Below are 22,804 nucleotides of genomic sequence, written 5' to 3'. Positions count from 1 at the left end.
TCTGGCTCATGAGGACAGCAGGTGGCCCAAGAAGGGTGACAAATGCCGGGGCCTTAGCCCGGCTCTCAGGGACAGCTTTTAGTTGTGCAGCCTTCTCTAGATGGCAGGGGACAGCAGCCACCCCATGCAGAGCACACGGATCTGGTGGGACTCGCCAGGCCTGGGTGCAGGGTGACGGCTCCCCTCCAACTTGCCCCCTTCGAGAGGAGCTGCTTATCTTCTGTTTTCTGGAAGCAGTGGGGCTGGGATCTGAGATCTTCATACCTATTGTTCTCGAAATTTTCAAAGCCAAATATGTCCAGGAGGCCGATGGCCCTCCGCACATTTTTGGGGTCCTGGGCTGGTGGTGTGAAGATGGCGGCATTGATCTTCTTGACAATCCACAGGAAGAGGTGCCCATAGATGCCCTGGAGAGACACGGGGGTGGGAGAATCCTGGGCTTGGAGGCTCAGGCGGAGGTTACCTCCAAGTTCACCTGGAGAGGCCGAATGTCTTGGACCTACTGTGGATGTTATCCCTCCTTCAAAGGCAAGAAACCAGGGCCCAAGAGGCTGAGGAGTCCATGGTCACCAGGCAGGTGACTGGCAGAGTGGGGACCTGCCCAGGGCCCTCTGCTCCATCCTGCCCTCCACCGGCACAGCAAGAAGCAGAGCCGTGGTCAACAGATGGCCATGTAAGCCCTGCTCTCTCAGCTCTGTACCTTGACAAAGGCGTCCCTCCGGTCAGCAGCCTGGGCAATGTTCAGGGACCTGGTGACAAATTCCCCTCGGATGAGGATGGTGTGCTTGATCAGACAGTCCCGGAGCTCCTGGTGCTGCACCTGGGGAGGCAGGTGGGGGCTGCGTCGCACCTGTGGAGCAGGGCCTGGCCCAGCACTCTGACCTGCTTCTGCCAAGTCTTGTTCCCTCTCGTGACCAAGCACCTATGCCCACCGGAGGGTGGGCGCTGCCCGAGGCCAGGGCCAGGGCCCTGGGAGCTGTTAGGGAAGGATTCTCCAGCTCGGTGGGTCAAGCCCTCAGTGGGTCTCCTGGGGGCTGAGAAAGGGGCTGGCTCCCCCAGCCTGGCCTTGGAAAATGAGGGTGAGGGAGGGATCTGAGGCCAGACCTCAGGCATGTCCTGACTGAAATCAGTCCCGCCTGAAGGCTGAGAGTCTAAAGGAGCAAGAGAGTGTGCTGGGCCAGCCCTCCACTGGAGCTGACAAAACCCAGAGTTTCTGAGTACCCTCGAACCAAAAGAAGAATGTTAATAGCAAAAGGTACCTAATGTGATTGCTTGCTTTATGTATTTATTTCTTGCTCCTGATTCTATTAATTTTCCACCAGAACTGTCAATGGGGGTGACGTGGGGTGCTGCCATGTCCCCATTGCAGAGGTAGCCCCTCACTCAGGGCCTGCAGCCCTTCCTTTAAGCCAAGGCTGCATTTGGACTGGGGAACAACCGGGAAGGCTAATGGGATGGGCCCCAGACTCACTGGCACATTCCACTCTCCCAGAATAGTGCAAGCCCCGGAGAAGCCCTGCGGGGTGAGGGCACAGGGCAGGGCTAGTCTGATGGGTGGGTTGGGGTCCAAGTGGGGAGCCTAGGGACCTGACAGGGTGGAGGGCGAGGATACTGAAACAGGGCCACTGACAAGCAGGAGGAAATGGAGGGAAAGGGAGGAAACATTCATTAAAGCCAAACTGGCCATTCCGCCGCTCTGTTTGGCACTGCCCCACTCTGCGCCCACCCTCAGGCACCTGCAGTATACAGAAGGGAGGGGTTTGAGCATAGGCCCTGGGAAAGGGGTGGGGGCCTGGGTAGGGTTATAAGAATCAGGTGTCAGGGGTCTGTCAGCCCAGGCCTCTGAGGCCCCCCACCAAAATGGAAGCTGTGGGCACAGCACCCCTACCTCCAGTAACTTCATCACGGTGGGAAAGGCGGGCGTCTCCATCACGTCTGAGGCGTCCAGGTTCTCGAAGACCGAAGCTAGAGAGAGAAGCAGGAATGCTGAGTTGGAAAGCAGCCTGGAGCGATGGGAGCAAGGTCCCGACTGGCCCGGGCCCTTGGCAGCCCCAGATCCACTCAGGAGGACAGCTGCCCTGGCGTAAGCCACGGTCTCTCCCAGTGTCCTCTCTTTGAGGGAGCCAACGGCCCCATGACCATGGGTCATTCACACCTTAGCTGTTGATGAACGTGGCAGACCACTTCCTCTTGAGGAGACCAGGGCCCTGGGTCGAAGGGAAGTTTAAAGAAAGGTGGGCTTATTTGGAGGGAGAAGTCTGACTTGGGAAACACAGCAGACACTGGCACTGGAGAGATGAGCCATCAGGCCCCTCAGTCCATGCTGCTGGGTGTGGAAACCCGGACATTTCGTTATTTATTCAGTCACAGGAAGCAAAGCACTAATGGAGCTCCAGCTGTAAGCCAGGCCTGGCTCTATTGCAACCGTCTCCTGACTGGCCTCCCAGCTTCCAGTTCCTCCTCTTCAACCAACGTCCAGCTTAGGACGTGCCAGGCTGGTGGGGGACGGGACCTTTGGGTGTCTTTGTTTTTGCTTTTTTTCTTTTTTAAACTGAAAAAAATTGGAGATAAAATATACAGATAAAGAAGTGCATAAAACACAAAGCTGTGTTGTAAAGAATAAAGTCAGCACCACGTAACCACGCTAAAGCCAAATCTAGGATCTGCCAGCACCCACAGCCCTCCGAGGTCCTTGCGGGCTGAGACTGTGTCCCTCTCCTCCGGAGGTAAGCACCCTCCCGACTTCTAACTTCCTAGCTTTTTATTCCCTACATAGAGTCCCTAAACAGCATTTAATGTGCCGGCTTTTAAATGTTATGTTAGTGGGCCAGGCGCAGTGGCTTGTGTCTGTAATCCCAGCACTTTGGGAGGCTGAAGCAGAAGGATCACCTGAGGTTGGGAGTTCGAGACCAGCCTGACCAATATGGTGAAACCCCATCTTTACTAAAAATACAAAATTAGCCAGGCTGTGGTGGCAGACCCCTGTAATCCCAGCTACTCAGGAGGCTGAGGTGGGAGAATCGCTTGAACCTGGGAGGTGGAGTTTGCAGTGAGTCGAGATCCCACCACTGCACTCCAGCCTGGACAACAAAGCAAGACCCTGTCTCAAAAACAAACAAACAAACAAACAAACAAATGTTATGTTAGTGGATCTGTCTGCATTCTCTTGTGCCTGCTTCACTTCCTCAGCATCATGTTTCTGATGCTGTCCCAGGCCCCGGTGCCCACCTCTGGTTAGCACCCACCTTTCCCTGGCCGAAGTGTGCAGTCTGGCTGATAGACGACAGATCAGCCCAGCTGCAGCTTGCCTGGAAGCAATATTCTCACATGGCGTGAGATGGTGGCCCAAGCTTTTGTTTTCTATATGGACACCCCATTGCTCTAGAACAGTTTATGAAAAGTCTATCCCTTCCCATTGCTTTGAGAATGGTCTCTCCTTAGTTCTGGAACCAGCCCTATCTCTTCAAATATTGCCTCTGCCCCTTTCTCTCTCCTTTCCTTTAGGACTCCAATGAAAGGTGTGCTCCCTCTGCCACGGTGTCCTCCCAGTCTCCACCTTCTCTCTGACATCTCCCGCCATTCCTCTCTCCATGCTGTACTCAGTTTCTCCTGACTTTCCCTCCAGCTCACACATTCCATCTCCTAGACAGGCACAGAATCCCTTAAACCATCCATTGGGTTCTTCCTTTTGGTTATTTTTTTTTTTAATTTTAGAATGGAATTTCTATGTGGTTTGTTTATAAATCTATAATGTCTTTAAAGTTTCCCATTCGCTGTCTAAATTTTCAAGCTTGGCTGCTTCTTTTCTTGAGCAAAATAAGCAGAACTTCTCTAGTCTGTGTCTAATAATTCCAACTTTGAAATCTTTGTGGATCGATTTCTACTGTTTATTATTTCTGCCGGTTCTTGTTCATGGTATCTCATTTCCTTGTTCCTATTTCTTCCTGGCTTCATGCTGGATGTTGTGTTTGAAAAACTACTCACAGGAATCATTTGTAATCTAACTTGCTGGTGCTTTTTTCCAGCGAGGACTGTCAATAACTGCCGTTAGGTGCTTGGGGGTGTTCACAGGTCAGGACAACTTAATCCCCAGACCACCCCTTGCTCACAACCTGGTTTGCAAGTTCACACGTGGATTTGTTTACTCTGGCTTACCTGAACCTTAAGGGGGAAGCCCTTTTGGGTCCCAGCTAAAAGTGGGGGATGATTGGCCGGTCTCCACCTGTGGAGAGCCTTAAGCTTTGACATTTTCCCCTTTGCCTCACGAGGCCTCCAAAATCACAGCTGAATTTTTTAGATATATTTTTCCAGGCCTGGGTTGGACCACAGGATCCTTCCTGTGAGAACCCCTAGAGATGCCTTCCTGCTCCTGTCCCCTTCCCTCTCCCTCCCCAAGGGTGCAGTTGGGGCAGAACCGGCATTACCCATGAACCCCACATTCCCCAGGTGGAGAATGGCAGCCAGCAGCTTGATGACGTCCCAGCTCTCGGAGTCGGAGAACTGGAGGATCTTCATGGCCGAGCGGATGTGGGCGTAGTCCTTGGCGTCGTTGAGCCCCTCACAGGAAGTGCAGTTCCCCTGAGGGACAGGGTGCCTCAGTGAATGGGGCCATCCCCTGCCCCACCACCTCCCTCCTGGGACCAGCAAGGCTGAGACACTGCACTTCATAGGCAATGGGTGGACCACGTAGGGTCCACGCTCAAAAACTCTTTTCAGAGGCAGAATCATGACACAGTAGCCACAGCATGATCAGGCCTTGCCACCAGCACCAGCATTTGGCCACTGTGTGACCTTGGCCAAGTCACACTTCTTCTCTGATCCTCTATTTGTCGTTCGTCCCTACTCGAGCTTGCCTTGTCTCTCTGGGGGACACTGTGGGTTTGTTCCTTTAAGAAACACTTTCCATGGCTCGCCATGGGCCAGGCCCTGTGCTGCGCATCCAGGGGGGCAGGCAGGGAGCCAGTGACCGTGCCATGGCCATTTGCCTGTTACAGGTGCCCAGACCACAGGGGCCGGGGCCAGCCCTATCGAGAGGTGGAGAAAGGCTTCTTGGAGGAGGTGCAGAGCTGGCCCCACCGCCTCTGAGGACAGAGGGCAGTTTAGGCAGAGGATGATGGGAGCAAGGCCACGAGGTGGGGAGGCAGGGACAGGGCTGCGGGGAGGCTGGGGTGGGTGTTGAGAAGGGAGAGGTCGGCAGAGGGGCAGATCTTGGAGGGACCTGGAAACCACATGGAGGAGTTTGGACTTCTACCCTACAAGCCGCAGGGGTCACTGCAGCAGTGCCATCCAAAGCATGACACTACAGTGCAAACCTTCCTACAGGAAGAGTGCTTTGGCTGCAGGGTAGATGACAGATTAGAGGTCAAGACTGGCGATGGGGGACCCATGAAGTCTAGGCAGGGGCTGGTGAAGGCCTTGGAGCAGTGGACCCAGGAGAGAGGGTTGCATGGGAGAGATCCCAGAGGCAGAATGCTCTGGGTCCACTCTGTGGTCAATAAACCAGGAGGCGCAGTTCTCCTGAGGGCCAGGGAGCCTCAGCTAATGAGCGATGGCTGTGGTGCCGCCCTGTCCTAGGTGGCGGGTGCAGCTGGGAGCACAGGAAGGGCTTTGCTTTCCTGGGGCCCGGGGCTTACGTTTTAGGGGGCCTGCAAGGACAGACAATTGGAGTGAAATCAGGAGCAGGAGGCATGTGGGCAACTCCCTGTGGCCCACTGGGCACCGGGAGCCTGTCATCCAGTGGGGACCAAAGGAAGATGAGGTCTGCGGGGAGGCCCCGGGTCCAGCCTGGGGCATGGGGTACATGTGACGGGGAAGCGGGAGGCACGCGGGCAAGGTGATTCCCAGCAGAGAGGGGCTGGCGAGGAGAGGCAAAGGGAACCAGCCCCGCCTCAGGGGCCCGGCCAGCGTTGGGCTTCTCTGCAGCTGTCGCGGAGGGTGGAGCGGCACAAGCTCTTTTTCCTCCCTTCCACTGGCTACTGGGAGGCGGCAGGTGGGCAGCTCACCATGGTCAGGTAGTGGTACTCGGAGGGCGTGCCCAGGCTCAGCAGCTGCTTGTCCTCAGCACTCACCCCCATGAGCATGCAGTAGAAGATATGGTAGTTCCGCTCCTCGGGAGCCTGGGAGGGAGGGAGGGCATTCCAGACAGATTCATGAGCCATTCCCCTGAGGCCTCAGGGCCTCAGACTGCCTCTGCCCAGCCCAGCCCTGGCCTCCGCTCCACATCTCTCAGCCAGGAGCAGCTCTGGCACTGACCCAGGGCCAGCCTGGCTTGGTTGCTGTCCCTGTCCCGGGCCTCCGCGGCTGTCTCATCCCTGCCCTGAGAACTCCATTTCCCTGCATCTTGACTGCTCCTCGAAGCCCTGACACTGCTGTGCCCAAAGTCTCCAGGCCAGGAGTGATGGCACAGAGTCGGGGCTCTCTTATAGTCCCACAGTCTTCACAGGCACTTAGTGGCCCACGAGAGATCTGACAGCCACGGGGCTCCCTAGGCCTTCAGTATTTTTTTTTTTTCCGAGAGAAGGTCTTGCTCTGTCACCCAAGCTAGAGTGCAGTGGTGCAATCTCAGCCCACTGTAGCCTCGAAGTCCTGGATTCAAGCCATCCTCCCACCTCAGCCTACCAAGTAGCTAAGATCACAGGCACACACCACCACGTCCGGCTAAGTTTTGTATTTTTTGTAGAGATGGGGTTTTGCCATGTTGCCTAGGGTGCCTTCTGTATTTTTTAAAACACTATTTATAAATGCATTCTCATACAAATCAAACAATCTGAAGCATATGCAGTAGTGTTAAAAGATGGGAGTCTCAGTTGGGCTGTAATCCCAGCAGTTTTGGGAGGCTGAGGCGGGAAGATTACTTGAGCTCAGGAGTTTGAGAGCAGCCTGGGCAATATAGTGAGACCTCACCTCTACAAAAAATAAGAAAATTAGCTGGATGTGGTGGTAAACACCTCTAGTCTCAGCTACTCAAAAGGCTGAGGTGGGAGGATCAAAAACAAAAAAATGAGAGCTCCTTTCCATCCTGCCTTCCCCTTTCTTAAATCCCCTCCTCCCCGCCCCAGAACCTAGACATGTTTTTAAAAAAACATTTACTTATAGTATATCTATAAATAGTTATCTCTTTTCTTTTCTTTGTTTCTTTTTTTTTACACAAAACATATTTGTGGTTCTGCTACTTCCTTTTTTTTCACCTAAACATATCTCTTGGTGATCCTTTACATTGACATGGACAGACCGCCTCCTCTGTAGTATAGATATGCCGTAATTTTAAATTCTTTCTCTTTTCTTGGGCAGGCCTTGTTTCTCACCTGCTTTAGAAATTTCCTGCCCATTTCAGGGTATCATTTTGGGTGACAAGTTCTATGAACTCAGCAACCACTATATCAAGAAATAGGAGCTTCCAGACAGGGCAGAGAGACTCTGCCATCTGCTGGCTCTGTGACCCTGGACAAGGGGCCGAACTTAACTGGACTCAGTTTTCTCATCTGTACAATAGGGATAAAGAGACCTACCTCTCATGGTTGTGAAGGTCAAATGAGATAAAACAGGAAAAGTATAGCACCAGGTCGGAGGGTCACTAAATGTGACCTTCCTTCTCAGCTTGTCACAGTGCGGAGGCATCTGTCCCTCTCACACAGCCACAGCCCCTCTGTTGGTGGCATTCTCCCCTCTGGACCCCTTCTGTGTGTGTGCACTCATTTGCACACATGCATGTGTTAGGTGTTATGCCATCATACGAGAGCACCCCCTTACACTCACACACACACACAGGTGCATTAATTCTGCTGTTGTGGGTGCCATGTGTTGGGATTCCTACCATTTGGGACTGGCTACATGATCGCCCAGTGCAAAAGGAAACCATGGGCCCTCTTGCTAAAAAGCTAGTAAGAATTTCAAGGTGGCAATAGCAGAGCATGAAACCAAGCATGGGGCCCCCTGAGCACAGGGCCTGGTGTGACAACACAGGCCACATGCCACTGTACTTCCTGGCCATGTGGTATTTGGGATACTGTCATCTGTGTCTTTCTGCCATGTCCCCTAACATACCTGAAGATACGGCCCACCCAACTAGCCTAGTCTCAGAATTAATTCTAGTAGGGATGAGGAATGGTAGGCACCAAAGAAAGAAGAAATGTATGTGAATGGAAAATTCAAAATGGAGAAAAGTCTTTTTTGAGACAGAGTTTCACTCTGTTGCCCAGGCTGGAGTGCAGTGGTGCAATCTCAGCTCACTGCAACCTCTGCCTCCTAGGCTCAAGCAATTCTCATGCCTCAGCTTCCCAAGTAGCTGGGATTACAGGCGTGTGCCACTGCCTAGCTAATTTTTTTTTTCATATTTTTTGTAGAGGCAGGGTTTTGTCATGTTGGCCAGGCTGATCTCAAACTCCTGGCCTCAAGTAACCCACCCGCTTTGGCCTCCCATAAGTGCTGGGATTAGAGGCGTGCGCCACCAAGCCCTGCTCAAAATGGAAAAATTTCTATCATTTGCTGTCCTGGAATACTGGGGAAGGGCCCTCATTATCCAGTGAGGCCTGTGGGTTCTGGGAGGGCCCTTGGGGAAGAGGGGAGGAGAGGTGAGAGTGGGAAAGGGGCCCCTCTTGGAAACCTCCCCCATTCCCTCAACTCCCGACCTGGGAAGGGGGAGGCCTCACCTGCCGGCAGACCCGGGACTTCTCCAGGAGAAATTGCTCGATGCGCGCGCCCTCGATCACCCCGCTGGGGTTAAAGTAGATGTCAATGTACTTCCCAAAGCGGCTTGAGTTGTCGTTGCGGATTGTCTTGGCATTTCCAAAGGCTGAAGGTAAGCGGGCGATGCCCATGATGGGAGCAGAGAGGAGAAAATGTAATTTGAGTGGGATCATGTAAGAGGGCTTCTCAGAGGAGGTGGCCAAGCCTCGAATTGAAGAATGGGCACGGCTGCACCAGACAGTGACGGAAGCCAAGCGCCCGCTAAGAGGAAGACAAAAATGCAGGGAAAACCTCGGAGGTCAGAAAAAGCATGGAGTGTGCTTGCAGACGCAGAAATCTTGTCAGAGTGTGGGATGCAGGAGGAAAGCAGTGGAAGGTAGACAGAACTAGTTAGTAGGTAGGGCCAGGTGGCACAGAGCCTTAAATGCCGGGCTCAGAACTTGGGCAATCATTCTGCAGTAATAAGGGAAGCAGTAAAGCTTCTGAGAGAGTGTGGGAGCAGATTCACAGCTTAGAAAGATGGCTCAGGTTGCAGGGCTGAGGCTGATACGGAGAGGCCAAGCCGGCATGGGGAGTGCCAACAGCGTGTCCAGGCCAGGGCACACGGAAGTGGTCAGTCTTTTTTGTAAAGCTGTTTCTGCAAGTTTTCTGATGTGATCCACAGTAAGAAAGATATTTTGCATTACATCCTAGTATATACACATGTCCACCTGCACACACAAAGTTAGAACAAAATACTCAGTACTAGTTCTTATGAAGAGTGACGTGCTGGGGTGTTTCTATTCTATGATATTTGATTTGTTCTAGAAGACTGATTTTATGGCCCATTAATGGTTAGAATGCAGTTTCAGAATACCAGCATCCAGCATAGTCCCATGAAACGAAGGAAAAGGGTTCCTTGGGGAAGTAGGTTTAGGAAACACGGCACCCTGTCTCTCTCTCGAGGAATCCCAATGCACAGCAGAGCCTCTGAGAAGTGCCACCATTACGAAACCTGTTTAACTTATTGAACCCAGTGTGGCCATCATGGGGGCGACTGGTTGGGTGTCTCTTTAAGAAAGAATCTGATGCAGGCAGTTTTTTTTTTTTTGGTACTAACTGACAGGCTGATCTTAAAATGTACTATATATGGAAAGGTAAATTACCTAGAATAGCCAAGTTTGAAAAAGAATAACAAAATTGGAGGGCACATGCTATCTGATTGCACCGCTTCCTATAGAAATCAAGACAGTGTAGCACTGGTGAAAGAATAGACAGAGAGGGGAATTGAAGATAATAGAGAATCCAGAAACAGCCCCATACATGGATGGTCAGTTGATTTTAGACAGGGGTGCAAAGGTAAGTCAACAGAGAAAAAATAGTCTTTTTGACAAATAGGACTGGAATAATAGAGTATCAACATGCAAAACAAACAAAGAGAGAAGGAGAAAAAGAAAGGAAGGAAGGAGAAAAAGAAAGGAAGGAAGGAGAAAAAGAAAGGAAGGAAGGAGAAAAAGAAAGGAAGGAAGGAGAAAAAGAAAGGAAGGAAGGAGAAAAAGAAAGGAAGGAAGGAGAAAAGATGAGAAAGAAGCAAGGAAGGAAAGACAGAAAAGTCTTTTTTTTTTTTTTTGAGACAGTCTCACTCTGTCGCCCAGGTTGGAGTGCAGTGGTGTGATCTCGGCTCTCTGCAAACTTTGCCTCCTGCGTTCAAGCGATTCTCCTGCCACAGCATCCCGAGTAGATGGGATTATAGGCGCATGCCACCATGCTCAACTAAGTTTTGTATTTTTAGTAGAGATGGGGTTTCCCCATGTTGACCAGGCTGGTCTTGAACTCCTGACCTCAAGCGATCTGACTGCCTTGGCCTCCCAAAGTTCTGGGATTACTGGCATAAGCCATCATGCCCAGCCAAAAGTCTTTTTTTCTATGCTGTGTACCTTGCACCATAGAAAAATATCGGATCACAAATGTAAATCATAAACTGGATCATCAACCTAAATATAAGACCTAAAACTACAAAACATATAGGAAAAACATAGGAGAAAATCTCTGGGTTAGGCAAAGATTTCTTAGATACAACACAAAAAAGCATGACCCATAAAAGGAAAAATTGAACTTCATCAAAATTTAAAACTTCTGCCCTGCAAAAGACCCTGTCTAGAGAATGAAAAGACAAGCCACAAACTCGGACACAATATAAGATGTAACACCTATCTTATAAAGGACTTGTATCCAGAACACAGAACGAACTCTTAAAACTCACTAATGGCCAGGCACAGTGGCTCACGCCTGTAATCCCAGCACTTTGGGAGGCCGAGGCGGGTGGATCACCTGAGGTCGGGAGTTTGAGACCAGCCTGACTAACATGGAGAAACCCCGTCTCTACTAAAAATACAAAATTAACTGGGCGTGGTGGTGCATGCCTATAATTCCAGCTACTCGGGAGGCTGAGGCAGGAGAATCGCTTGAACCTAACAGGCAGAGGTTGCAGTGAGCCGAGATCGTGCCATTGTGCTCCAGCCTGGGCAACAAGAGCGAAACTCCGTCTCAAAAAAATAAAAAACAAACAAACAAAAAACAAACAAGCAAAAAAAAAAAAAAAAACTCACTGGTAAGGAAATAGACCAATTAAAGAATATTAAAGAATAGGCAAAAGATTTGAACTGACACTTCACCAGAGAAGATATACAGAGCGGAGGTAAGCATGAGGAAGGACGCTAACATCCTTAGTCGTCAGGGCCACGGGAGTTACAAGCATGCTCCACACATATCAGAAGGCAGACCAGGTCCTTCACTGTGCCAGGTGCTGGTGGGGACACAGGACAACCAGAATGTTCCTGCTCTGCTGGTGGGAAAGCAAAATGCTGTGAGCATTTTGGAAAACATTTCGGAAGTTTCTGACAAAGTGAAATGGCTCACTTGCCTTTTGAGCCAACAATTTCACTCTTGCATATTTATCCAAGGGAAAGACCAATGTGCACACAAAAACCTGTATGTGAACATTTATAGAGGTTTTACTCCTAGCAGCTAAAAACGATAAACAACCCAGATGTCCTGAACGGGTGGAGAAGCTGTGGTACCTTCACGCAATGGAATTCTACTCAGCATTAAAAAGGAATGAATCACTGATGCAGGCAGCAACAAGGAAGAATCCCAAATAGCCAAGGTAACTAGACACAAAAGGCTACAAACCCTGTGATTTTACTTCTATGACGTTCTGGAAAAGACAAAACTGTGAAGGGGGGCGGGGGAAAGACAAATCAGTAGTTGCCAGGGGAGGGGTTGGGAAGACAGGGTGACTACGAAGGGGTGTGAGAGAAGATCTGGGGGGTGAAGGGAAAATTCTATTTCATGATGATGATGGGAACCACAGGCCTGTATGAGTTTGTCAAAACTCACAAAACTGTACTTGAAAAAGGTGAATATTTACTATATGTAAAGCAAACTTCAGTTGTAAAGAAACGAGAGAGACTGTGCTGTCCAGCAGCTGACAGCCTTGGGGCCGAGGCCACGGGCTTCTGGGCAGCCCCGACTAGACTGAGGCCGGGGTCACCGGGGCCGAAGCCAGGAGCCTTCTAAGGAGCAGTTTGCTCCAGAGCTGCCTGCTGGGTTGGCCAAGACTTAGATCTGGATCACAGCGTGAGCCTCTCCCGACCCAAGCTGCTTCCTCTCTTTTTCCCGTTCATAAGCGTCTGAGCAGCATCCAAGTTTGAAGGCTCATCCTGCCCACTCCTGCTTTCTCCCACTTTGCCTTCTGCAGGTTTACCCCTCAATAAACCTCTTGCAGTCCTCACTCTGGCCCAGCAACTGCTTTCCAGTTCAGTTCCAGCAACTGAACACATGCATCTAGCATTTCCCAAATTGATTTGATCTTGGATGCCTTTTTAAAAAGAATATTCCTTACAATCCCGTGGAAAACACACCTGGTGGAAGTTTATTAAGTCCTCAGTCTTTCCCCTTTGTGCTGCCTGGCCCCCCTTCCCCTACCATGCACCCCACCCTTGTGTTTTGTGTCCCAAGGGTCTGGAGGAGTTGCTGAAGGTTTGTGGCCTATCCTGTCCCTCCCCATGGTCCTACCTGGCAGGAAGGCTCCAGGGGGGCTGGGGGAGAAGGGCGGGTCCCAGAGTGATGCTTACCCTCCAGGATGGGGTTGGCTTCCAGGACCTGCTGCTCAATCCACGAATGCTGGCCACTGATGGTGGCCAGGAACTGCAGGATGAGCTTGGTGGTCTCCGTCTTGCCAGCCCCAGACTCGCCGCTGCAAAAAGGGTGTGCAGGGACATGATGCCACAAAACGACTATTTTTTTCAACACCTCTCAACTCTCCTGCAAACCCCAGTCCTGCTTTCTGAGCCAGTCTGACAGGGATGGCCTCTCCCCTGCAGAAATCCCACTGCACTGAAGCCCTGAAATCCCCTGTGGGTCTCAGGCTGCCTGTGTTGTACATGTTATTGTGTTTGTCTTTTCTTCTGTGCTTGGCTGCAAGTTCCTTGGCACACTCGGATCTGATTCATTCCAGGGTCAGCACCACAGTGCCCAGGACGTACAGAAGACTGAGTGAGATGACTCAGTGTCTTCCTAATGAAAGGGTGGCCCACAGGCCAGCAGCAGGCTCGGAATGCAGATGCCCAGGTCACACAGGCTCTGTTGATCAGAATCTGCATTTTCACCAGATCCCCAGAGGATTCCTGCACTTTGGAGTTTGCAAAACAGACTCCCACAGTCCCATTATCCAGCTTCAACTCCCGGCCAATTTTGTTTCCCGTCCTGTACTATTTTAAAGCAAATCCCAGATGTTGCTTCATCTGAAAATATTACCTTTTTTTTTTTTTTTTTTTTGAGACGGAGTCTCACTCTGTCACCCAGGCTGGAGTACAGTGGCATGATTTCGGCTCACTGCAACCTCCACCTCCTGGGTGCAAGTGATTCTCATGCCTCAGCTTCCTGAGTAGCTGGGATTACTGGTGGCTGCCACCACACCCAGGTAATTTTTATATTTTTAGTAGAGATAAGGTTTCACCATGTTGACCAGTCTGGTCTCAAACTCCTGACCTCAGATGATCTGCCCGCCTCGGCCTCCCAAAGTGCTGGGATTACAGGCATAAACCACCGTGCTTGGCCTGAAAATACTGTCTTTTTTTTTTTTTGAGACGGAGTCTTGCTGTTGTTGGCCTGGGCTGGAGTGCAATGGCACGATCTCAGCTCACTGCAACCTCCGCCCACTCCAGTTCCAGCAATTCTCCTGCCTCACCCTCCTGAGTAGCTGAGATTACAGGCGTCGGCCACCAAGCCTGGCTAATTTTTATATTTTTAGTAGAGACGGGGTTTCACCATGTTGGCCAGGCTGGTCTTGAACTCCTGACCTCAGGTGATCCACCTGCCTCAGCCTCCCAAAGTGCTGGGATTACAAGCGTGAGCTACCGCACCCGGCCAAAATATTACCTTTTTTAAAAGTTATGATCAAAATACCCACAATCACTATGCCAGCAAAGCAGAGTGAGATCAACAAACCTCCAGTGATAGCTGTGGACTCCCCTGAGTGCCTGTCAAGCGCCAGGCGTTTTTATAAACACGAGCTCATCAAATAACCTGCCATTGTAGAGACAGGGGCTTAAGGGGACTTGCCCACAGCCCTGGGGGAGGAAAGGGCAGGAGGAGAATGCAATTTGATTCAAAGTGACAAGTGACATTCTGCTCACTGCAAGGAACCAAAATCAGGGGGCTCTTTCCTCTCCTTGTTCACACTGCCAGCCCCGCCAACCTCCAGGTAGAGCCACACCGTAAGCTCCCTGGCCAGCCAGCCTGCGGCCCAGCTCTGCTGAGGGGCCTCTTGCCCTGCCTCTGGGGGCAGGTTGGGAGTTCCAGCTTTCTCCCAGAGTACCTGTCTGCTGTCTTCTCCAGAGCCCTGGGTTTGAATTTCCCACTTCACTGCTGTGTACCACTGGAACAGGATCTCAGCCCCTCTGATTGTAGGTCTCTCCAGCAGTAACATGAGACCATATCATGGGAATAAGAGCATCTCTTTCAGAGGGTTGCTGAGGACATGAAATGTGATCACCTGTGCCTTAGGACTTCATTCTGGTCTCTGTTCAACATCCCTCCTCAGAGAGGCCGTGCCTGGCCTGCCCCCTATCTAATGAAGAGGCCGACATCACCCTTTCCTCTCCCCTGCTGTGTTTTTCTTCAAAGCTGTTAGGACCTACATAAAAACGCACTTATTTGTTGCCTGTCTGTCTCCGCTTCTAGAATATAAGCTCCCTGAGGAAGGGATTCTGGTCCCTTTTGTTAGCTGCTGCCTCACCATGTTAGGACAGTTGGGGGCACTCAGTTGGGGCATGACAAAACCTCAAATGATTGAATGAATGAATGAATGAATGAATGAATCCCCCAGGTGGATCATGTCATCCACGCCATGGACTGAGTTGGGGTGCATGGGGCTGAGGACACCAAAGTTCTCTGCTAGGATCCAGTGTTCCTGGAACAACGGGTGCAGACTCCCCTGAGGGGTGGCTTCCATCCCCGTGGCCAGCCTGCCACACCCTCCCCTCCAAGTTCTCAGGGTCTGTGGTCACTGGTAGAGAGGCCAGGCCAGGCAGGGAGTCTCTGAAGCAGTCAGGACCTGGACTGGAGGGGACACTTTCCTTCTGGTCCCCTAGTGAACTGAGAGCTGTCCCCTGGAGCTGCTGCTCCTCTGTCCTCACCTGAGGCCTGCCCTGTGTTTTTTTTTGAGTGGGCCCTCACCTGTTCAACTCCTGCAGCTTTAAGTGCCTAACCTGGGTCCCATATCTTTTTCTTTTTTTATTTTTACAGAGAGAGGGTCTTGCTATGTTGTCTAGGCTGGTCTCAAACTTCTGGCCTCAAGCAATCCTCCTCCTTTGACCTCCCAAGTCCCTGGGATTATAGGCATGAGCTACTATGCCCGACTCCTGGGGCCCATTTCTAAAGGAACCCAGCCCAACTTCCTTCCTTGACTCAGTAAACCTTTATTAAAAGCTGGGCAGTCCAGTCCCTGGTGACACGATGAAAGCCTAGGTTCTGAAGGAAGGAAGCTTTGGGGGAACTGCTCGGGGTGCAGGGTAACTGGGGCCGTTGTGTGCTGTGGAGATGGGTGTGTGCCATGGAGTAGGGAGAGCTCTCATCTCGCCTGATCTTGCAGGCATGCTGGTGGGGAGCAGTTCAGGGAGATGCCTGGAGGTGGTGCCTGACCCCTCTGCCTCACCTGATGATGCAGCACTGGTCCCTCTTGTTCCTCTTCATGCTGAAGTAGCAGTTGTTGGCGATGGCAAAGACATGCGGGGGCAGCTCGCCCATATGGCGGCTGTAGTAGAGCTGTACCTGCTCCAGGGTGTAGAGCGGCAGCACCTGGAACGGGTTGACGGCCACCAGGATGGAGCCTGTGTATGTCTGGGAAGGAAGCAGGTGGTCAGTGCCCTCTGCCCCTGGCAGAGGTACTCGGCCCTGGCCTTGGCCTTGGCCTTGGCTCTGGCTCTGCCCTCGGGGTTATCAGGGCCACTGACTTTGGTGGGGAAGTAGAATCTGATTCTGGGCCAGGGAGATCAGACATTCAGCTGCGCAGATCTCTCCTCTGGGAAGATGGGATATCCACCAGGAAGGTGAGCTCCCAGGGAACATATTTCCAGGAAGATCAAATGTTAACTGTTTTGTACCCTGCCTGGTATTTAGAAGGGGCTCGATAAAAATGGACTAAGTATGAAATGGGTTTTCACCTGCATCCCGCAGGGGCTTTCATATAGGCTGGTCAACAACTGGGCCTCACGGACCCCAACCCCAAATTCTGTGTGCCCCTGGGACCTCCGCCCTGGATCAGCTGCCCATCTGGAGCCCCCACCCAGCCCCACTGCCCCTCAGGGGGTGCGGCAGGCAGAGCCTGCACAATAAGCCACATGACCATGGTGTCCTGGTTTTCACTTTAGGAAAGGAGAGGACGTGCCCTCTGGCTTCAGGCTGTGCCACCAGATGAGGAGTGCAGGCAAAAGCCCTTTGGAAGCACAAGCTGCTTTCCTCTGAGCAGCCCAGAAGGGCCAGTCAGAACCAAGCTAGCCACCCCTCCAGACCAGAGAGGCCCAGGCAGGCAGTGGCTTCTGCAGGCCACACCTACTTAGGCCGAACTGGTGTCGGTTTTGGAATACCACCTCCCCTGGAAAAATCTGCATTGGAACCAGGATGAGAGCTTCAGGCTGGAGTGAACCTCCATCCAGGCCAGGTTTGCACGGAGGGCCCACATCCATCCCCATGGCCCCCTCGTCTGGTGAATCAGGACCTTGGGATCTGGGCTGTCACGGGCCTCACTCTTGGGAGGCCAGGGGCTTTCTGTCTAGTGACTCTGTCTCTACAACATGCCTGGGAAGGAGAGGGCAGAGGATGATGGCCACCTGATGGCCATCTGCAGCCCTCACTGAGCAGAGACTGTGCCAGGCACTGTGCTGTCACTCTACGCATTGGCTTCCTCCCCTCCAGGGTGGGATCACCCTCCTTGTTTGGGACTGGGCAGCAGAGATTGGGAAAAGTTAGGCACCTCGCCCACCTCCCTCAGTGAGGGCATGGGGGGCAGTGCCCCCTGTGCATCATTTTCTTCTCCCTGTCCAGGAGGTTGGCACCTGTGAGGGGCTCCCCTGTGGACACAGGGCTGGGGAGACTCACATAGATCTTGTGCTGCTGGTAGCGGATCAGGAGGTTGTGCACCATGCCTGCCTCGTTCAGGTCCCCCAGGCGGATCATGTCGTCCACACCCTGGACTGAGTTGGGGTGCATGGGACTGAGGACACCAAAGTCCTCTGCTCGGATCCAGTGTTCCTGGAACAATGGGTGCAGACTCCCCTGAGGGGTGGCCTCCATCCCCATGGCCAGCCTGCCACACCCTCCCCTCCAAGTTCTCAGCAGCAAGGTGACCTTCCGGGTCATGGATCAGCTGACCTGGGGCAGTGGCCAGCCTCCGGCCAGGGTCAGTCTATGACAAGGGTCAAGAGACTCCTGTGGCAGGATCCGGTCCATCTATGGCTGGGTCAGCATGGGTCTAGGGCCCAGGGTTAGGGCGTAGCTGGGGCTAGGGCTGAATTTCAGACCAGGGACAAAGGAGCTTATAGCCAGAAGTTAGATTTAGGGTCAGGTTGCAGCTGGGAGCCTTGCAGGTTGTTGGAATAAGACTGTGCAAGTAAAAGCTTTTTTAAAAAACTACAGTGTCACACAAATAGAAGATATTGTTATTATTTTACTGACTTCCATCATCTGGAACTCACAGGCCACAGCCTAGAAACTTCTCCTTGGAGGCTAAGCCTGCAGCACCCAGCTGAGCACAGAGGACAATCTGAGGAGCTAAGTGACCGGCTGGACACTCCATTGTAAGCCCTTCCCTGCTCACCACCTAGCTGGCCCTGACCCCTCTGGTGGACGAGCTGGTCACTCCCGGGCCACTCCAGCTTGCTGGCCTCTTACTTGTGCATTTTGCCCCGTCCTGCCCCTCCACACACCTTCCTCACCCACCTTTCCCCCTTGCCCGTTTCATTTTGCAAACTGGCTTTCTGCCCCTCTGGCCCTTCCAGAGCCCCTTTCCCACTTCCCACTTCCTTCTTGAAACGTTCCCCAGGACACACAGGCCATGTTCTCCATGGCAGGACTCCACCGTGATCTGTCCTGCCACCCAGGTCCCCACTTGGCCTTGGAGCCCCTGGTGTTGGGGAGAGGCTCCACAGGGCGGGGAGGGCTCCAGGGCCCTGGATGTGAGGGCAGGGCAGGGCCCAGAGGAAACCCCAGAACACTGACCTTGCCCTCGTCATCTTCAACCAAGACTTTGCCTGGCTTTGCCTCTTTGATGATGCCCCCGATGGCCACGCCGGTCTTGTGGGTGGAGGGAGGCTCCAGCCACACGTGGTCACCCTGGAGGGCAGACAGAAGACAGTGGTGTGATCCCCGCTCTCTCTTCCCCTCCCTGCTGGATACTTACTTCTCTTCGGGGCTATGCCTTCCAGCCCAGAGCTCCCAAGGTGGCTGGAGCTTGTCTCTCCTTTCCTCTCCTCCCCTCTCCCATCTCTCTTTCTCCCTGCTCACTGGGCAGGTACCAAGCGCCTGTACAGCTTCTCTCCATGTCTTTGTCTTGTCTGGGACAATAAGCTGACAAGAACAGGAGCTCTGGTCTCACCACAGCACCTCTCATAATGAAAAAGAAACTTGGCTACTATTTAGGAAGGTGGTGTGGCTGAGTGGTTAAGAGAGAAAGTGCTTCTCAAGCTTGATGACGGTAGCAAGAGTTGCATCCTCTCAGAAATCACCCACAAGCAATAGGAGGATGAGAAACAGAAACGAGCACTAGAAGACGCAGGAGGAAGCTGAAAAGGTGGCCCCAGCTGTAGGTTCCAGAAAGAGAGGGCAAAGTTCACTTCTCCAAGGCAGGAGCCCATCCTGGCATGCAAAAGCAGCATGTCTTGCTGCAGCAGTAGGAGCAAGGGCACAAGGTGGCAGGCGGAGCTTGCCTGGCCTGTCTTGGTTCTAGGAAACACCATATTTGCAGGTCTTCCATATTTGCAGGAAGCAGTCTCTCTGTGGGGTGGGAAAAGAGAAGTCTTGCCCTGTGAAAAGCTCTGCAGTACCCAGATCTATTGGGTGGGAGAAGCCACTACTAAAAATTCACATGTGAGATTTCTGCTAGCCTGCACTGTGGCATTGACACCTCATGAACCTCCTTCTAATCCAAGAAAGCTCACCCCATCTGAAGAGAAGTAATCCAAAAGGAACCAGCACAGTTCTGTGTTCGGAGGTACTGAAACCCAAGAGGAGGAAAGGAGCAAATAATACTCAGCAAAAGAGAAATAACTGCCACAGAGCAGTAGGAAGTTGTGACCAAGTATTTCACCATAATTTACAAAAACTGACCAAAGAGTAGGTCAGAGGCAAAAGAGCCCAGGAATTAGATGGGGGACAACTGAGAAAAAGGATGAGACATGAGTTGGCAGAGCCGAATGAAAAAATTGAGGAAATGAAAGAAATGCAGACCAGAATGAAAGCAAAATTGGAAACAGCAGGAGAACATACCCTGATTATAAAAACATGGGAAGAATCATAAAAGGTAGGAAGGAGAAAAGTGAGCAAAATGATATAGAATTTGTTAAAAAATTAGAATTAGGGGCTGGATGTGGTGGTTCACACCTGTAATCCCAGCACTTTGGGAGGCCAAGACAGGCCAGGAGTTTGAGACCAGCCTGGCCAACATGGAGAAACCCTGCCTCTACTAAAAAAATGCAAAAATTGGCTGGGTGTGGTGGCTCATGCCTGGAATCCCAGCACTTTGGGAGGCTGAGGCGGGCAGATCACAAGGTCAGGAGTTCAAGACCAGCCTGGCCAACATAGTGAAACCCCATCTCTACTAAAAATACAAAAATTAGCCGGGTGTGGTGGCAAGCACCTGTAGTCCCAGCTACATGGGAGGCTGACGCAGGAGAATTGCTTGAACCCGGGAGGCAGAGGTTGCAGTGACCGAGATCATGCCACTGCACAACAGCATGGGCAACAGTGCAAGACTCCGTCTCAAAAAAAAAAAAAAAAAAAAAAAACAATAAAACCCCACAAAAATTAGCTGGGCGTGGTGGTGGGCGCCTGTAATCCCAGCTAATCAGGAGGCTGATGCAGGATAATTGCTTGAATCTGAGAGGTGGAGGTTGCAGTGAATTGTGATCGTGCCACTGCACTCCAGCTTTGCTGACAGAGACTCTGTCAAAAAAGAATACATAAATAAAAAATAAAATAAAATTAGAATTAGGAAGAAGATCGCTATAGAAGATGGGCAAAAATACAAGTAAACCTCATTATATGGACTGAATTGTGTCCCTCCAGAATTCATATAGTGAAGCCCCAATTCCTGACATGACCATATTTGCAGATAAGGCCTTCAAGGAGGTAATTAAGGTTAAATAAGGTCCTAAGGGTGTGGTCCTAATCCAACAGGACTGGTGTCTATAAAAAAGGAAGAGGCACCAGAGTGAGATGCATGCACGCTCTCTCTCTCTCCCTTTCTCTCTCTCTCTCTCTTTTTCTTTCTCCCTCTCCTCACCCCCAAGCACAGAAGAAAGGCCATGTGAAGATAAGATGAGAAGACAGCCATCTACCAGCCAGGAAGAGAGGCTTCACCAGACACCAACCCTAAAGGCACCTTGACCTTGGACTTCCAGCTTCCAGGACTGTGAGAACGCAAATGTCTGTGGTTTAGGCCATCCAGTCTGTGATACCTTGTTATGGCAGTCCAAGCCCCAGTGAAGTCAGACAGTCCGGCTGGGTTCTAATCTCTACTCTATATTACAGGAGTTATACGGCCTTGGGAAAGTCACTTAACTGCTCTGAACCTTAACTTTCTTATCTGTTGAAAGGGCCCGCTTCACAGGGCTGCTGTGAAGATGGAATGCCCTATGGCAGGGACCCCGCATAGTGTCCAGCACAGAGGGCACCACAGAGGGCTCAACAACCACATGGGCCCTCTGAAAGACTTATTCATTAAAAACATGACCACTCTGCACTTTGGGAGGCCGAGGCGGGTGGGCAGATCACCTGAGGTCAGGAGTTCGAGACAAGCTTGGCCAACGTGGTGAAACCCTGTCTCTACTAAAAATACAAAAATTAACTGGGCATGGTGGTGGGTGCCTGTAGTCCCAGCTACTCAGGAGGCTGAGGTGGGAGGATTGCTTGAACCTGGGAGGCCGAGGTTGCAGTGAGCCGAGATTGCGCACTCCAGCCTGGGTGACAGAGTAAGACTCTGTCTAAAAAAAAAAAAATTACTCTCCTCTCAAAGACTTACAATCTCTGAAGACAGAGCAGGCCTGCAATTGTAATTGTGAGTAATAGGGCCCCAAGAGGTGTTTTTCTAAACTCTGCTTGCAGTTAGTCGCATTCCCAGAGGGACATTTGGCGTTGATGCATCCCGTGGCATATTCCTTTGTGAAATGTTTGGCTTTGTCTTAAAACCACATCATGCTCCAAAGTGGAGCCACGCTCTCATGTTTGCAACTTAGTTACCAGAAGCGCTCACAACCTGACCTTTTAGACCATGTGTGTCCTTTCTCCAAACTAAAACAGCCTAAGCTCTATTCTGTAACTGAAAACAAGAAGCCAATCTTGGCTGTCCATTCTGTGAGTCAGATGCTGCCAGGCTTAGTGGCAGCACCAGGGGCCGCTGCGTAGTGAAGGTCCTCCTCGCAGCAGTGTGCTCCAGCAGCCAGGAACGATGTCCTGTGTGGCTTTGCACTCAGGAGGAGAACATTCGGGGCATTTTCTTATCAAAGAGCACTTCGCAGCACTGTCCTGCTCTCCTGGACTCTGTAGGGCATGGGGCAAGGGTGGAAATGTGGAGGGCAGGGAAGGATGCACAGGCTGGTTTGGGGCCTCTGCTCTCTGGGCTCACCAGCCTCTGAGCTCTCCACCCTGCACTCCCCGCCGCCAGGCTTCTCAAGGCCTGTCCCTGCCTCCCAGGGCAGGGCAGTTCCCCAGGGTCTGTTGATTTGACAGTAAATGCAAAACTCCTCTGCTTTCTTCCTGTGGAGGAGCCATCTCTTGGCCACCGGAACACAGGAATATTTGTTGAGTGAAGGGAACACGATGCAGAGTCCAAAGGGGTGATTCAGACCTGGGTTTCAGTCCTACCCATGCCCACAGTTCCCCAGTTCCCTGTTTTCTCTGGGGGAGCTCCCGGCAACTGCCGCAATGAGGCAACTGGGAAATCCCTTTGTTGGCTGGGCAAGGTGGCTCACACCCAGCACTTTGGGAGGCCAAGGCTAGTGGATTGCTTTGAGCTCAGGAATTCGAGACCAGCCTGGGCAACATGGCAAAACCCTCTCCCTACAAAAATACAAAAATTAGCTGGGTGTGGTGGCATGCACCTGTGGTCCCAGCTACTTGGGAGACTGAGGCTGGAAGATCGCTTGAACCCAGGAGGCAGAGGTCACCGTGAGCTGAGATCGTGCCACTGGACTCCAGCCTGGGTGACAGAGTGAGACCCTGTCTGAAAAAAAAAAAAAAGAAAAGAAAAGAAAAGAAAAGAAATCCCTTTATCAAGACAAAGGGACATGTTAAGCCCTACATGAAAGTGAGGGATAACTATACATAACTATACATGTATTGCCGAGGCCAGTGGCTGGCCAAA

General features: G+C 51.7%; 1 protein-coding gene and 1 long non-coding RNA gene across 11 annotated transcripts in view, besides 4 other annotated features; one reads left to right on the top strand and one right to left on the bottom strand.

The window, feature by feature from the left end:
- Positions 1-22,804, bottom strand: part of MYO7B (myosin VIIB) — a 102,044-nt gene that overhangs the window by 55,016 nt on the left and 24,224 nt on the right. For 9 of the 10 annotated variants that reach the window (XR_001738748.2, XM_047444437.1, XM_011511218.3 and 6 more), the window contains exons 3-12: positions 18,445-18,558; positions 17,326-17,478; positions 15,884-16,068; positions 12,801-12,922; positions 8,649-8,791; positions 6,003-6,116; positions 4,425-4,578; positions 1,889-1,965; positions 701-820; positions 265-407 (exon numbers count right to left, since the gene is read on the bottom strand). Coding sequence is in view for 9 of the 10 variants with exons in the window: in XM_047444437.1 (XP_047300393.1) it covers positions 265-407; positions 701-820; positions 1,889-1,965; positions 4,425-4,578; positions 6,003-6,116; positions 8,649-8,791; positions 12,801-12,922; positions 15,884-16,068; positions 17,326-17,478; positions 18,445-18,558 (1,325 nt within the window). In the remaining variant the exon portion in view is untranslated. Of the gene's footprint in view, positions 1-264; positions 408-700; positions 821-1,888; positions 1,966-4,424; positions 4,579-6,002; positions 6,117-8,648; positions 8,792-12,800; positions 12,923-15,883; positions 16,069-17,325; positions 17,479-18,444; positions 18,559-18,729; positions 18,839-22,804 lie in introns of those variants that run through there. The other variant, XM_047444438.1, reaches the window with a different exon arrangement.
- Positions 4,456-4,505: an enhancer, noted in NCBI's record as "active region_16496". NCBI's record gives its function as "activates an Ori minimal core promoter by ATAC-STARR-seq in GM12878 lymphoblastoid cells {active_cell/tissue: GM12878}" and the evidence as "EXISTENCE:reporter gene assay evidence [ECO:0000049][PMID:35858748]".
- Positions 4,554-5,107: an enhancer, noted in NCBI's record as "H3K4me1 hESC enhancer chr2:128335179-128335732 (GRCh37/hg19 assembly coordinates)". NCBI's record gives its function as "activates a minimal SCP1, AML or CMV promoter by ChIP-STARR-seq in naive H9 embryonic stem cells {active_cell/tissue: H9 hESC(naive)}" and the evidence as "EXISTENCE:reporter gene assay evidence [ECO:0000049][PMID:30033119]".
- Positions 11,749-22,666, top strand: LOC105373609 (uncharacterized). Its single transcript, NR_132317.1, has 3 exons — positions 11,749-11,830; positions 17,924-18,023; positions 20,733-22,666. It is a non-coding gene; the product is annotated as an uncharacterized LOC105373609 (long non-coding RNA).
- Positions 18,606-18,705: an enhancer, noted in NCBI's record as "active region_16495". NCBI's record gives its function as "activates an Ori minimal core promoter by ATAC-STARR-seq in GM12878 lymphoblastoid cells {active_cell/tissue: GM12878}" and the evidence as "EXISTENCE:reporter gene assay evidence [ECO:0000049][PMID:35858748]".
- Positions 19,016-19,065: an enhancer, noted in NCBI's record as "active region_16494". NCBI's record gives its function as "activates an Ori minimal core promoter by ATAC-STARR-seq in GM12878 lymphoblastoid cells {active_cell/tissue: GM12878}" and the evidence as "EXISTENCE:reporter gene assay evidence [ECO:0000049][PMID:35858748]".

This window comes from Homo sapiens, chromosome 2, assembly GCF_000001405.40.
Source record: "Homo sapiens chromosome 2, GRCh38.p14 Primary Assembly".
NCBI classification, from domain to species: domain Eukaryota; kingdom Metazoa; phylum Chordata; class Mammalia; order Primates; family Hominidae; genus Homo; species Homo sapiens.
Note: the sequence above shows the minus strand (reverse complement) of the source record. Positions and strands in the feature narration are given on the sequence as shown.